The sequence below is a fragment of the Homo sapiens genome, chromosome 8, assembly GCF_000001405.40.
Source record: "Homo sapiens chromosome 8, GRCh38.p14 Primary Assembly".
Classification (NCBI taxonomy): Eukaryota; Metazoa; Chordata; class Mammalia; order Primates; family Hominidae; genus Homo; species Homo sapiens.
This window is the reverse complement of record NC_000008.11, coordinates 51,419,226-51,435,127: the sequence shown is the minus strand read 5'-3', so window position 1 is coordinate 51,435,127 and position 15,902 is coordinate 51,419,226. Positions and strand designations below refer to the sequence as shown.

Here is a 15,902-nt window from a genome sequence, read left to right as displayed (position 1 = left end):
CAGGATGGTCTCCGATCTCCTGACCTTGTGATCTGCCCGCCTCGGCCTCCCAAAGTGCTGTGACTACAGGCCTGAGCCATCGCATCCGGCCAATGAAGACTCTTGTGTGTGTTTATGTCCATGTATTTGATGAAATGTGGAAAGGACAGAGCACTTTATCTGGGTGACATTGATATATTAATTGTTATTTCTTGGGTATAGATGTTCAATCATTATATATCCTTAAGAGCTCCTTTCTACCTGTTTTTACTACCTCATCTCTGTAAAGAGGCAATCTATAGAATGCTAAAATCAAGATATATTGTGTCTATGGCAAACTGATCTGTGTTACATTCTGTCATAATTCTGTGACTCAGTTTCCTCATCTAATAAATGCTCATGATTATCATAATTTGGGGGTAATAATATCAATGCCATTAATCTTCAGTAGAGCATACTAGAATTCATAGTGTCTTAATTCTAGTATTTTTAACCTTCTTATTTCCTAGTAGTTCCAAAAAGATTATTAGCAAACATTCTGGAACCATTTGTTACATGGTAGAAAATACATTTAATGTATATTGAGTACAAACCATGTGGTATCACTATTTTACTCACTGGTGACTTAGCAGTAAATACAGCAGAAGAATCTCTGTTCTCTTGGAAAAGATGCTCCTCATCTAAAGGGAAAAAATGAAGTAAATATCGTGTATTCCAGAGAGTGTTAAGTGTGATGAAGAAGCAACAAGGCATAGGGCCAGAAAAATGTACCAGGACATGTCATTTAAAAAGAGAGGTCAGGGGATACCTCTAGAAGGACATGACATTTGAGCAGAGAGCTGAGTGAAGTGACAGTCAGAGAAAAAAGGCAAATCACTTAGAGCATTTAAACTAACAACAGGCTTTATGTCAGTAGCAACAGAAGCCAAAAGACGCTGGAATCGATTCTTCAAAGTGTTTCGACAAAAATAACTGTAAATCTAATATTATATAAGCATCAACTCCTTCATGGATAGGAGCTAAGTAAAGATATTTTCAGAAAATAAAACTGAGAATATAGTATTGTATATCCATCAAAGTGTTCAAGAATGAGGGCTAAAGATTATCTTCTTGAAGAAGGACAAAATCTTAAAAGAGCTGAGATTCAAAAAAAGAAATTCAATAGTGAATAAAAGAACCTGATGAACATATAGATAATATTAAAATATTTTCTATATGCAATAATAATAATTGTAATCATTAAGGTGTGACATTGAATAAAATTATACAATTAAATACTGACTTACAATGGAATATATGTTGGAAAAATGTTTATTGAAGTTAAAGTTTTATAATATTCTTATATATCTGAGATGAGGTGTTGGTTAATAGGTTGGTTAATCTGTTAATTTCAGGCTCGTAAGTATAAATGCCACAGATACTAAGGGTAAATAGTAAAGTATAAAAATACGATTATAAGTTTCAAATTGGAAAAGTGAAAATGATGAATTAGGAAACCAGCAAATTAATTGTTTAAATAAAAGCTAAGAAAGGAGAAGTGGCAGCAAATTTACAGATGAATTCTGTAAATGTTCTAAAAGTCAACCCAGTCTTAAACAAAGTTTTGCAGATAATATAAGAGGAAATACATTACAAATTAACTAATAAAGGAAATTATGGACAAAAAACTTAATCTCTGTACAAAATATTGCCCCACTGACTCCACTGACATTGCTAGATTAATGGAGGACAAATCATTTTAACAGATGCAGGGAAAACATTCGATCAAATTTATTAACTAATTATTAAGAGAAGATCTTAGCAACATAGAAATAAAATATTTTCTACAAAAAAACCCTTTTTTTAGAAATAAAACAATAGAAAATTACATTTTTAAAGATGAAATGTTAGAAATATTTCTATTATTATTATTATTATTATTATTATTATTATTATTATTTGAGATAGAGTCTTACTCTGTCACCCAGGCTGGAGTGCTGTGGTGCGACCTCCGCTCACCGCAATCTCTGCCTCTCAGATTCAAGTGATTCTCCTGGCTCAGCTTCCTCAGTAGCTGGGACTACAGGGGCGCCCTGCCACATCCAGCTAATTTTTGTATTTTAATAGAGACAGGTTTTTACCATGTTGGCCAGGCTGGTCTCAAAGTCCTGGGCTCAAGTGTTCCCCACCCGCCTTGGCCTCCCAAAGTGCTGGGATTACAGGCATGAGCCACTGCGCCTGGCCGAAATATTCCTTTTAAAATTAGGAAGAAGATTGCATGTACTCAATGTTGTAATGGAAGGTCCTAGCCTTTACGGAAAGGCAAGACATAGAAAACAAATGTTATGACTTTAGAAGAAATACGTACAATTTTATTTGTATATAATAGGATTATCCTCAAACACAATCCAAAAACATCTACAAATAAACTATCAGACCTAAGAGTTCAGCAAGATCATTGGATATGACATTAACAAGTAAAAACTGTTTTTCGTTCTACATGCCAGCAACAAAATGCCTAATTTTATTTTAAAAGCAAAGCTCCTTAAAATGACAAGAAAGTATAAGTTAAAAATAAATCTAACAAAAGATGTGCAAGAATTGTGTAGAAGAAAAATAAAATGTCATTGAAAGAAATTGAAGAAGACAGACTTACTATTGTAAAGATGCTAATTCTTCCAACATTGATTTATAGATCAATGCAATTCCAATCAAAACCCTAGAAGAGTTCTTGATGGAAACTGAAAGGATGATTCTGGAAGGCATATGGAATAACAAAAATCCAGAAATAACCTAGATCATCCAAATAGCAAGATGGTATTACTGTATACTGCTCAGGGATAACATATTGTATGGTTGGCTCAAGGATTAACAACTTACCAAAGAGACAAAAAACCCGTATGTATAAGCAGTGTCATTGCTCATGGCTGCAGAAACTATGGCTTCTCAGTAATAGTCCTGGGCAACTCATTATCCACAGGGAGAAGGTGAAATTACATCTTTACATCACCCTACACACCAAAATCAATTCCAGATAAAAAAGTTTTAATATTTAAAACATTTAACTCTTTTTCAATAAGAAGTAAAATCATTATGATAGTATAGAAAGATTTGCAAAACAAATTACAGAAAACTATTAGCCTATCAGAAAAGATGATAATCTTATCTACATTAAAATTTGGATATTCTATTCACAAGTCAGAAATAGAAGATATTTGCAATATATATAACTGGCAAGTGTGTTTTGATATCTGTAATATATAGAGAATTCCCAAATTTAATAAAAAGAATTCAATTAACAAATGGGAAAACACAGTCAATACAGCTTGGGAAAAAGTTAAATCGGTATGCTTGCTGAGAATTAATGTAGATGTCCATGAAATGGTTGGTTTCTGAGCGTGGACCTAAGATGTAGAGTCCATGGTTATTAATGAACTAATTTAGAACTAAGGTGGTGCATTGAGTGAGAAGGTGAGAGGACCAAGAATTGGACCCCCTTGGAATGTAGAGAGAAGAAAAAGCTATGAGCGATATTATAGAGGAATTCCCAGCCTCTGGGTTACACAAAAACCCTGAGGAGACAAGAGTCTTAGCAGCTAAGAAAAAGTTATTCCCAGAAGGAGAGAATCAAATGTGTCAAAAGCCACAAAAAGGTGCATTCAATAAAGACTGGAATTTTGTTTAAGGGCCTGAACAAAGGCAGTTTCATACAGTCAAGGAAATCGAAGCCTTAATGAAGTGGGCTGTGGAATAAAGGGTATAGAAGTGCCATGAGCAGAGAATGTTTTTGTTTTCGAAGAAACCAATAAGTTTCTTGGAAACAAGTGAAGAGGGAAACAGTAAAGAGACAGCAGTGGAGATGGGGCTGGGTCATGCAGAAATAAGTGGAAGGGCCTGTTTTTCCTAGGTATTTTCTAAAGGAAGGAGAGGCTGAAAAGATGGAAGAGCATGAGCATTAAATAATTTAAGATCACTCAGGTGGCAAGATGGGGTGAGATTTGCAACTCTAATGATCCAATTGACCTTTAAGAGAAGAGTTATTTTTTTCAGTTTAGATGAGGATAGGAGGGGAGGTAAGAATGGTTGTATGGATTGAATGATACCTCTGTGGGAGAAGAGTATAGGAGTTGAGGAATTTATAGTCTGATGGCTTCTGTTTTCTTTGTGGAGAAGTCAATATTGTGTAGGAGAAGGGTATTCCAAGAGATGAAGTAGGTGACTTGAAAGAGAAGTAAATGCTTGAAATTCGTTGCTGTTGATGTGAAATAGGATCTGAATTGACAAGGGCAGTTTGTTCCTGACAATCCAGGACATAGAATCACTCTATTTTTACTGCAGATATTTTGTGAGAAGAAATGCAAGAAAATGGTGGAGAGTTGTTGAATGAAATAATAATGGGGTAAAGGAGTTTAGCATTTTGGAAGAAAAGTGGTAAAGGTGACAAAACTTGGGATCTTGAACAAAAGTTCTTTGCAAAGGAATTTGAAGCAGAGACTTTATTCCAGCGAACAGTTTGCAAACTGGAGAGACACAGCCCCTAGTGTAAAACAAAGGTGCGTTCCAGAAAACAAAGAGAGAGTTCAAGTTCTGTAGCAAAAGTTTCCACCCATGTTCCCAATCAGGTCCATTTATGCAAATGAAGGATTCAAACTTGCTGAGTTCTGATTGGTTGGTTCAGGTAAGCTCTGAAGGTCTTGAAGTTAAAAAGGTGTGTGTTTTCAGGGAACTCAGGGCATGTGTGTCACCTCTAGTCAGGAAATGGCTGTTTGGCTCTATTTTAAATTTAAGCCCAGTTAGCCGCTTGGGATTCATCCTGAAGGATTGGATCTTTTAAGCTTCTGTTTATTCACAGGAGCTTGGCTGAAAAGGAAAGGGAATGAGACTAGAAGATTGTTGGTCAACAGGAAAGAAGCAGATCGCCTTCCAAGTCTAGATAAAGTCCAAATGAGGAGATGCAAGGGCATAGTGAGAAGAGCTTTGCTTTAGAGTGTGGTGTTAGATATTTCCAAAATATTATAAGTGATGGCACAGCTTGTGGTAATGAGCAACTGTTGTGTCAGGAGGTGAAAGCAGCTGGCGATAAAGGACATCAGACAAAGGAGGCTATGATGTGAAGAGTGAGACACTGGAGACTTCTTGATTGGATCAGGAGCATCACTGGCACGTAGGCTGACCCTGGTTCTCATGAGATGTCCATTATGCATTGTCAGGCATCAATCAGCCATGGTCTCAGCATTCTGAAATGCATGTGTTAACTTAGAATATACCATGTGATTTAAATACATAAGAAAAATAAGATTCCAACAGAGGAACTGAACCTTTTTATCTTTCTCAGCAATAAATGTTTCATGTTTACTATAATTTTTTTCAGAAATACAGAAACATACAAGAAAGATATGATGAAAGCTCTTATTTCCTTAGTCGAAGATCCAGCCTGGGTGACAGAGTGAGACCATGTCTCATAAAAAAAAAAAAAAAAAAAGAAAGGAAAAAAAGAACACGAGGAAGACAGTTTGGTAGCTTTCCTAAAATGCTACATATTTTACTACCACAGGACTTAGCTTGTGCACTTTTGGACTTTTTTTGCTTTATTTTGTTTTGAGATGGAGTCTCACTCTGTCGCCCAGGCTGGAGTGCAGTGGCTCACCGCAACCTCCACCTCCCCAGTTCAAGCAATTCTCCTGCCTCAGCCTCCCAAGTAGTTGGAATTAAAGGCTCACACCTCCACGCCTGGCTAATTTATTGTATTTTTAGTAGAGACAGGGTTTCACCATGCTGGCCAGGCTAGTTTCAAACTCTTGACCTCAGGTGATCCGTCAACCTCGGCCTCACAAAGTGCTGGGATTATAGGCATGAGCCACTGCACCCGGCCACATGTTTAAATTTTTAAAGAAGTTTCCAAACTCTTTTCCAGAGTGTCTGTACCATCTTACATTCCCACCAACAATGTATGAGTAATTCAGTTTACCTGCATCCTTGCCTGCAATTTGTAATGTCATTATTTTGTATTTTCACCATTTTCATAGGTGTGTAGTAATATCACATTGTGGTTTTAATTTGCATGTCCCTAATGACTTCTGATCTTTAGCACCTTTTCATATGCTGACTTGCCATCTGTATATCCTCTACAGTACAATGTCATGCCTTTTGCCCATTCTCTGAAGTGTTTGGTATTTTACTGTTGAATTTTTGGGTTCTTTATATATTTTAGACACTATTCCTTTCTGCATATGTGGTTTGCAAATATTTTCTCCGTCTATAACTTGCCCTTTGATACTCTCAGCATGGTGTTCACAGCACAGAATTTTTTATTTTGGTGAAATCCTGATTATCATTTTTTTTCTTTAATAGATCAATTTTTTATGCAAAGTCAAAGAACTTTTGGCTTAAATATCAAAGATTTTCTCCTATTTTTTTGAATAATAGTTTTACATTTTATATTTAAGTTTGTTGTCCATTTCGAGTTAATTTTTTATAAAGTATGAGACTTAGGTAAAGGTTTATTTTTCTGCCTATGGTTATCCATTTGCTATTTTACCGTTGGTTGAAAGGCTTCCAGTGAACTGCTTCTGCTCTTTCATTAAAATCAATGGAGCATATTGTATGGGTCTATTACTGGGCTGTCTGCTGTGTCCCATTGATATTTGTGTCTGTGTCTCCCGTATTCCTCAATACCACACAGTCTTGATTACTGCAGCTATATGACCCGTCTTAAAATCAAGTAGATCAGTTGCTCTCACTTTATTCTTTTTTGTCAAAAACATTTAGCTATTCTAGTTCCTTTGCATTTCTGCATAAATTTTAGAATAATCTGATCTATATTTATGAAAAAATCTTGCTGGGATTTAATGAGAATTGTATTAAACCTGTATATCAATTTGTAAAGAAATGACATCTTTACTGTCTTTAGACTTTCAATCCATGCATATATGCTTATTCATTTTTTTAAATCTTTGATTTTGTACTTCAGTATTTTGTAGTTTTTAGTTTATAAGTACTGTAGATGTTTTGTTAAATTTATACCTAATTATTTCATGCTTTTGAGCAATTGTAAATTGTATTTTTTAAAAAGATCTATGTCCATATGTTCGTTGATTGCATATAAAATAAATACTATCTATATATTAATACATTTGTCTTGTATCCAGAGACCTTGGTGAACTCACTTTGGAGTATTTTTGATATATATTGGGATTTTCTACATAGACAATAATTTCATCTGCAAATAGGGACAGTTTTATCTCTTCTTTTCCATTCTGTTTGCTTTCTATGTCCTTTTCCTGCCATGGTGCACAGGCTAGAACTTGCAGCACTGTGTTGAATAAGACTAGAGAGAACAGATATCCCTGCCTTATTTTCTATGTGAAAAGTATTCACTGTGTTTAATTACTCTAGGGCTTTTGTATATGTTCTTTTCCAAGTTGTGGAAGTTCCCCTCTACTTTTATTTTCTTTCTGAGAGGTCTGTAACTCATAATGAGCGTTGAATATAGGCAAACACTTTTTATGTATTGATACTATTATGTGGCTTTTCTTCTTTAGCCATTAATATGATGGATTACATTTATTTATTTTCAAATATTGAACCAGTATTGCATCCTGGGAATAAACCTTACTTGCTCATGGTGTATAAACCTTTTCATATTGATAAATTCTATTTGCTGATATTTTGTTAATGATTTTTGTATATATGTTCATAAGAAGTATTTGACTGTAGTCTTTTTTTTTCTTTGTTTGTAGTTATCTTCTGGTTTTGATATTAGGGTGAGCCTTCCAAAAGGAGTTGGGAAGTATTCCCTCCTCTGTTATTTTACAGAGGAGAGTCTATAAAAATCCTGTTAAATTTTTTAAACACTGGGTCAAATTCTCCAGTAAAATAATTTTAATTCCTTCCTGGGGATTTCTTATTTGGGGAGTTTTAAGGATTAGGAATTCATTTTTTTAATAGTTACAGAGCTATCTCAATTATCTATTTCATATTAGGTGTGTTATGGTAGTTTGTGTTTTTTGAGGAAATGAGATGCTCACTGAAGAGCTGGATCTTTTTATCTTAGCTACAAATAAATTTTGATGTTACCGTATAGTTTTATTTCACGCTTAACAAAAAGTACTGAGAAAGAATAATGAAAGTCCTGTACCCACAGCTCAGCTGAAGAGATGCATGTTAAAAATACAAATGTAGTTAAAGTTTCAGTGCATTCCTTTTGCCTAATACCTGCTCCGGCCTCTGCTGTACTTGCCGCCAGCCTGGGTGTGATGCTTGTTATTCCCCTAGACGTCCAAGTAATTGATTTTTAAAAAACTAGTGTGCTTAACCAATATGGCATTCAGGTTCATACCTTTGACTCAGCTGGCATATGTTGACAAAAATGATATTATTTGACATGATGTTATTTTGGTTTGTTTCCACAGCTCTTGCAGTGTTTACTCAACTTCCTCAGGATACAAGTGTCGAGGTTGGAAAGAATATAAACATTTCATGTCATGCTCAAGGAGAACCACAGCCCATAATTACTTGGAATAAGGTAAGATCTCAACTAAAAGTACAGTAATATTAAAAACACTGACAGATGTATCGACCCACTGAAATGGAGGTAATGATTCTCATATTGATTTTTTACTGTTGCGACTTTTGCTAGCAAATAATACCTTTTACATTGCAGCAGGTTTACTTCCTGTTTCTTCTTTTTTTTTTTTAAGTGACTCTATCTGATTTTGGTTCAGTGTTTTGATAAGGTTTATCCTTTCTAATTTGCCTGGTGATGAACACTTCATAAGCATAACTGAATTCCTCTAAGGAAAATTGGTTTTGACACATATAAATTAAGAGTTTAGTGGCTAATAAGAAACCATTTTAAGTTAATAACTCAGAAGTGGATTAAAAGTAGGTCATTGGCTGAAACAGGAAAGGAATGAAAAGCTTGGTGTTAAACAAGAAAAAGTAGTTCTGAAGTTTCAAAACCTGAATGGCTTTAAAAAAACAATAGCTCCTTATTTATATATCTTACATCTTTTGGAAGCCATATTCTTCCAACATAACTGCTTCTTCTGTTTTAAGTTTTTCATCAAAACAAAATGGTCGGTCTCAGATTTCAGTGTTCTTAAAAATCTACAAATTTGCACACTTGAATGTCAGTTTTTGAAACATTTTGACAAAATATAAAATCTGTGAAAGGTTACAAAACTGTTTTCCAAAACCACTTGGCTTATTTTTATTGCTACCATATATTAACAAGGCCTTCTTTTGTGCTGTAGCAAGTCTCACATGCCAGTCTCTATGAAGAGTAAGTTTAGGTGTCTTTCGGTTCATGTCCTCTCAGTAGTCTGAATTTTTTTGTTTTTTTTTTTTGAGACGGAGTCTCGCTTTGTCGCCCAGGCTGGAGTGCAGTGGCGCGATCTCGGCTCACTACAAGTTCTGCCTCCTGGGTTCACGCCATTGTCCTGCCTCAGCCTCTCCGAGTAGCTGGGACTACAGGCGCCCGCCACCACGCCCGACTAAGTTTTTGTATTTTTAGTAGAGACGGGGTTTCACTGTGGTCTCGATCCCCTGACCTCATGATCCTCCTGCCTCGGCCTCCCAACGTGCTGGGATTACAAGTGTGAGCCACCACGCCCAGCCTAGTCTGAATATTTTTATAACCCCCTTTTAATTTGATATTATATATTAAAATATTTTTATGCTAAAAATAGAAAGTGTGAAAAATATACATTTTGGGCAGTCTCTAAAGCCTTATTCGACACTGTACGACATGCATCATTATGTAATCACATCAGCAGACTATCTCAGCGTCTACTTTGTAAAAGGTAGCTTTTAATCACAAACTGATTGAGTGCTGACTCTATGCCAGACATTTTACACACACTATCACATTTACTCTTCATAACAGTCCTCTTCAGCTCACAAGTTTGGAAAAGGTATGAGTTAGCATACTTTGCTACCAGCGATAGAAACGCCCTACCATAAGCAGATAAGGAATGTGCTGGAAAGCCATCTGATTGCTGAGACTCCAAGCGAATATTTCAGAGCAATACATTTGGTCTGGAGTTCTGGCAATAGGTGAGGAGAAGGGAGCAACTTTGAAAGAAAATTTAGAAGTGGCCCAACCTGAGGCAGAGAAGGTGTGGTTCTGAAGGAAGGACCTACTAGGCCCTGTGACCTGTGCACCTGGTTGCCTCATCCATGCCTTATGTCTGGTCTCTCTCATCCGCCCTCTCACCTGGTGGGGCCCTGCAACTTCTCACTCCCTACTCTGAGTTACCAGCTACCAATCACCTGGACTTGTTTTCAAGCATGGGGTAAAGTCAGCTGTGAGAATCCGAAGACCTGTGAAATGTTATTTTCACTCTAAACGTTCATGGTTACACTCTGGCCTATTGGCCATAGCTGGAGTGTGAGTTCTTTTGAAAAAATATCTCCCATCCTCTGTTTCCTGTGAGTCTTTTGTGGAGAGGCAGGGCAGAGGCACACCATTTTAACTGCAATTTCATAAGGCCATTTCCTTTTACTTTTTAAAATTAAATCCATAATAATGAAAATGTATGTAAGTCTATATTAATTAAAAGTAAATGCACTTTAATAATAGCTCATATAAAATGTAGTTATTTTTATCTTCTTATATTTTTAATTGTGTATATATATATATATAATACACATATCAGTGTAGCTATACAAAACATATGAGTACATACAAGGTAGAAATAGAAGGGAAATTAGAAATACATTAATAAAAATATTTTGATGTTTTTAGATGATGGATTTGTGAGCATACTTCTCCTCGTTAATTTTTATTTTTTTTATTTTAGATATGGGATCTTGCTATGTTGCCCAGGCTACAGTACAGTGGCATGATCATAGTTCATTACAGATTCACACTTCTGGACTCAAGCAACCCTTTTGCTTCAGCCTCCTGAGTAGCTAGAACTACAGGCACACACTACCATGCCTGGCTGACTTTTGTTCTATTTTTTTTTGTAGGGATGGGGTCTTGCTATGTCACCCAGGCTGGTCTTGAACTCCTGAGCTCAAGTGATCCTCCTGCCTCAGCCTTCCAAAGTGCTGGGATTATAGGCATGAGCCACTGTGCCCGACCAAATGTAGTTGTCAGAATTATCTTTAGCAGTAAGCAATATATGAATCAATTGTGTCTATCCATTCATTGGAGTGATAATTTTAAAATTATTATTATGTTAAATAATTACATGATTGAACTTTTGGTTATCATATTTAATAATTAGAGAGAGAGAAAAACCACACTTCCTAGAAACCTCTTTTCCTCTCTTCCTTCTCTCCACTAGATTCATGTATCTCCTCCAGTACTTGACACACAGCAAACGTGCAATAGATATCTGTTGAATAAATGAACCCACATTTTAAAAAGTAAATAAATGATTTTTTAAGGAACCACACTCATTCAGTGGCAACTCTTTTTTGCTCCCTAGGAAGGTGTGCAGATTACTGAGAGTGGTAAATTCCATGTGGATGATGAAGGCACGCTGACTATCTACGACGCAGGGTTCCCTGACCAGGGAAGATATGAATGTGTGGCTCGGAATTCTTTTGGCCTTGCTGTGACCAACATGTTTCTTACAGTCACGGGTAGGTGTCTATAGCTCCATTTACAACATCCAAATAACTGTCTTTGAACAGCTTCTACCCCAATCCTATTTGACTGATCTCACTAATCATGCTCTCTTATACTTTCTTTCTGGTCAAGTGTGTTTATAGTCAAAGCTGTTTTATTCTTTTTAAAATAAAAAAATTTAAATATAAACAATCTTAAAGGATATAAAGTGAAAAATAACAAATTAAAAAAAGAACATAAATAGCAAAGATTTGCAAATATATATCATGTTTTCTTACAAACCAAAAATAATAGAATGCAAGATGTATTTATAGCCAAAATGTGGAGCCGGAGGTGGAAGCATAATATGGAATTCAACATGTACTACATACTCTAGCCTAGTATATTTAATCCCAGTTTAAAATTAGAAATCAATCCATCAAACTCCCAAGTAAACTTTACAACCACTAGAACAAATATCTCAGTGTTTCCAGGCATTTATAATTGGCCAACATAATTGACATAGCTTTTTACATTCTATCACCAATCTGGTTATATAGCTGGAACCCTCTGCAGGTTGATTATATATAATGACTGTTTAAAATACTGTTTACTGTAGTCTTATAAAAAATATATTTTTTCTTTTTTTGATTATTCAGTTCACAAGGGACATGGGAGAGTCCATTTGTAGGCAGACTTGAGTAGACTGTACTGAAACTCAGCTGAGGTTATTTACAAGTGGACACAGGCTGTTAAGATTGCCTGGTGTGTTCTCTACACGGAGAGGCATTGAAGGAAAGCACAGCATGTCTGCATGTGGGAGTTCACATTAGTGTTGCTTTTTTTGCAAATGGGTTCAGGAGTTTTTGCTGTATTGACAATCCACAGTTGAAATAAATGAGTTTAGCTACAAGCATCTGGAGTGCTATTTTGGGCTTTGCTCAGCTTTCAGTTTCCTTAAAAATGAACAAATTTCATAAATATGGTTTCGCAGATTCTTTTTTACCTTTTAGTTTTTCCACGCCTTATGGGTTTATAGAAGAGATTGGGTAACTGTTTCATTACGTACAATAATATTTCATAACACAGGCCTCACTAAAAATAGATTTAGCTTATCAACTCATATTTATAAAGATTTGCCATTTTCCTATCATATGAATACTTTCACATTCTTCCACTTACATATTCTGAAATATCAAACTTCTGAGCATTTATTTTGCCTAGGTCAGTGGTCCCCAACCTTTTTGGCACCAGGAACTGGTTTTGTTGAAGACAATTTTTCCACTGACCGGGGTGGGGAGATGGCTTTGGGATGATTCAAGTGCATTACATTTATTGTGCACTTTATATCTATTATTATTACATTGTAACATATAATGAAATAATTATACAACTCACCATAATGTAGAATCAGTGGGAGCCCTGACCTTGTTTTTCTGCAACTAGATGGTCCCATCTGGGGGTGATGGGAGACAGTGACAGATCATCAGGCATTAGATTCTCATAAGGAGTGCACAACCTAGATCCCTCACATGTGCAGTTCACAATAGGGTTTGTGCTCCTATTAGAATCTAGTGCCCCTGCTGATCTGACAGGAGGTGGAGCTCAGGCAGTAATGCTCGCTTGCCTGCTGCTCGCCTCCTGCTGTGTTACTAACAGGCTGTGACCAGTATTGGGGGTTGGGGACCTCTGTCATAGGATCTTCGAACCTCAGTGAGGAGCACGGATTTATTCTGAAGGCGCTGGGGTTGGGAACCCCTGGTCTAGGTATTTTAAATAAAATGTATCCATATTGTAAAAATGTCTTTTGTAGAATAATATTCTTAAAATTTTAACAATGTAGTTTAGTAACCGGCAAATATTTGTCCTAATAATGTCAGAGGTTGTTTAAAATTGCTTTTTATTTTTTTTGAGACGGAGTCTCACTCTGTTGCCCAGGCTGGAGTGCAGGGGCACAATCTCGGCTCACTGCAACTTCCGACTCTCGGGTTCAAGCAATTCTCCTGCCCCAGCCTCCCGAGTTGCTGGGGTTACAGGTGCCTATCACACGCCAGGCTAATTTTTGTATTTTTAGTAGAGATGTGGTTTCACCATGTAGGCCAGGCCTGTCTTGAACTCCTGACCTCAGGTGATCTGCCCACCTTAGCCTCCCAAAGTGCTGGGATTACAAGCCAGAGCCACTTCGCCTGACCTAAAGTTTCTTAACGTTACAAAATCTTAGTCTCACTCTGCTATTCTCTATGAGTTCATGATTTTCCTGATTTAAAATCTGTGGTAGTTGTGCTTCCTATAAATTTATGGAGTTCACATTTTGCTATTCAACTATTTATGAGACCTGTGGAAAAATGCCCTTGAGATAGTTTGGGAAAAAATTATTACAGAATTTATATTAATATCACCATGTTTTAGAAATGCTAAAAATCTTTACCATTAAACAAACACACATACAAACAAACATCCTCTCTCTCTGTATTGCCCCTCTGTCTTGCTCTTCCACATACACAGAAGCACTGTAATCTCAGTGAAAAAACATTTCAGAATCTCCAACACAAGAATTTCATCTTCTTTAACAGAAATTTAACTAATTGTAATTATACATACATATTAAAAGTAAAACATTCAGGCTGGGTGCAGTGGCTCATGCCTGTAATCCCAGCACTTTGGGAAGCTGAGGCAGGCAGATCACAATGTCAGGAGTTCGAGACCAGCCTGGCCAACATAGTGAAACCCTGTCTCTACTAAAAATACAAAAAATTAACTAGACATGGTGGCGCTTACCTGTAGTCCCAGCTACTTGGGAGGCCGAGGCAAGAGAATCACTTGAACCTGGGAGGTGGATGTTGCAGTGTCAAGATCACACCACTGCACTCCAGCCTGGATGACAGAGTGAGACTTCATCTCAAAAACAAAACAAAAGTAAAACATTCAGTAAAATGTATTAATCACTTTATTTACCAGATTTTAGAATAGTGATAGCATTCAATGATATTCTGTTCTATGGTGTTGAAACAGGCTATAAGGAGATAATAATACAGTAAAATAAATGTTATTCCACAAAGAAAAACTTTTTTGTCTCTGGGACATTTATATGTCAATATGAGGGAAAAGTAATTTATACCAAATAAATTTCATAATGTTAGAAATATTTTTTAATAAAGTAAAAGAAAGATGAAAGAATACAAATTTAAAAGTTTTGGGTAAATTTAAGATCCAAGACAAGGAGTGTGTATGTGTTTATAAAACCCAAATTAGCAGAATAAGGGGAAATATGGCAAACTAAAGTAACATTTGCTGAATGTTTTATGACTGAGACCCTTTCATTCACCAGGTCATTATAACTAAAAGGAAAAGTTCATACCTTACAGGAGGATTTTCCAATCTTGATGCCCCCACTTAGTTATTGTAGAATGTTGTAATTCCATTTGTGGAATAAATGACACAAGTAAGTGATCATGACTTTTGAGTTTCTAATTTACCTTGGGAATTACAGCCATAGAAAGTAATGCACAATAATGAAAAGTACACAACCATCTACGCATTATATAAAATTTACCTTTTACTGACTGATGTTTATAGCAGGGCATCTATGATAGCAAAAGAACAAAAAGATTTCCACAGTTGTAATTTTTTCAGAAAGCTCATTTTCCCTTTAGAGCTAATAGATTTGTAAACAGTTTACATAAATAACCTGTAAGACTGATACAGTATTTCCTGGGAATCTATCCTTTTGTTTAGGATGTTGTCAATGTATTTTATATCAGCAAATATTAATTCTATTTGCCCACTTCTCTCTTTTTTTCTAGATAATATTTTGTATCCAAATGCTACACATTTTATTTAGATAAAATGTTTATATATTTATTGTTTTTAAAAAATATTTAATAATAACTTACTGTAACACTCCCTATATTATATTAACTACAAAGTGCTGGTAAGTGCTGTGAAGTATAGACTCATTTCGTCCTCGTGAAAATGATTCGGTTTGACTGAAGGCACAAAACACATTTATATGAAACATTAGAAGTGTGAGATAGTGAGAAGAAAACCCTGGGTTAAGCCATCAGACTTCACTGATCTCGGCCACTTTGGATAACTTCCTTACCCATAACTGGAATTGATTTTCTTATTTTTTAAAAAGATGGACCTGAACTCTCTCAAGAGTATTTCTTGGCATAGAATTTCTATGTTTCCATGATAGAATTCAAACAATAGTTATGAAAATAGTACAACAGTAATGAGGAAACACTTTATAGCATGTCTGTGATAAAATTCTTACCATTGAGACATTGAACTAATATATGGACAAAGTGAAAAATGCAAAGGTGACCCAGAATTTATTAAATGAAAAACTTGGACCATGTAACATGCATATACTGGTTCAAAT

At 35.8% G+C, this 15,902-nt stretch overlaps 1 protein-coding gene across 10 annotated transcripts in view, besides 1 other annotated feature; it reads left to right on the top strand.

The window, feature by feature from the left end:
- PXDNL (peroxidasin like) overlaps window positions 1–15,902 on the top strand; it is a 489,869-nt gene that overhangs the window by 374,318 nt on the left and 99,649 nt on the right. For 9 of the 10 annotated variants that reach the window (XR_007060701.1, XM_047421364.1, XM_047421365.1 and 6 more), the window contains 2 exons: window positions 8,370–8,482; window positions 11,397–11,553. Coding sequence is in view for 9 of the 10 variants with exons in the window: in XM_047421364.1 (XP_047277320.1) it covers window positions 8,370–8,482; window positions 11,397–11,553 (270 nt within the window). In the remaining variant the exon portion in view is untranslated. Of the gene's footprint in view, window positions 1–8,369; window positions 8,483–11,396; window positions 11,554–15,902 lie in introns of those variants that run through there. The other variant, XM_005251168.4, reaches the window with a different exon arrangement.
- Window positions 5,054–5,276: a silencer, noted in NCBI's record as "fragment chr8:52342412-52342634 (GRCh37/hg19 assembly coordinates)". NCBI's record gives its function as "represses an EF-1alpha promoter that drives an FKBP-Casp9 reporter gene in an ReSE screen in K562 erythroleukemia cells {active_cell/tissue: K562}" and the evidence as "EXISTENCE:reporter gene assay evidence [ECO:0000049][PMID:32094911]".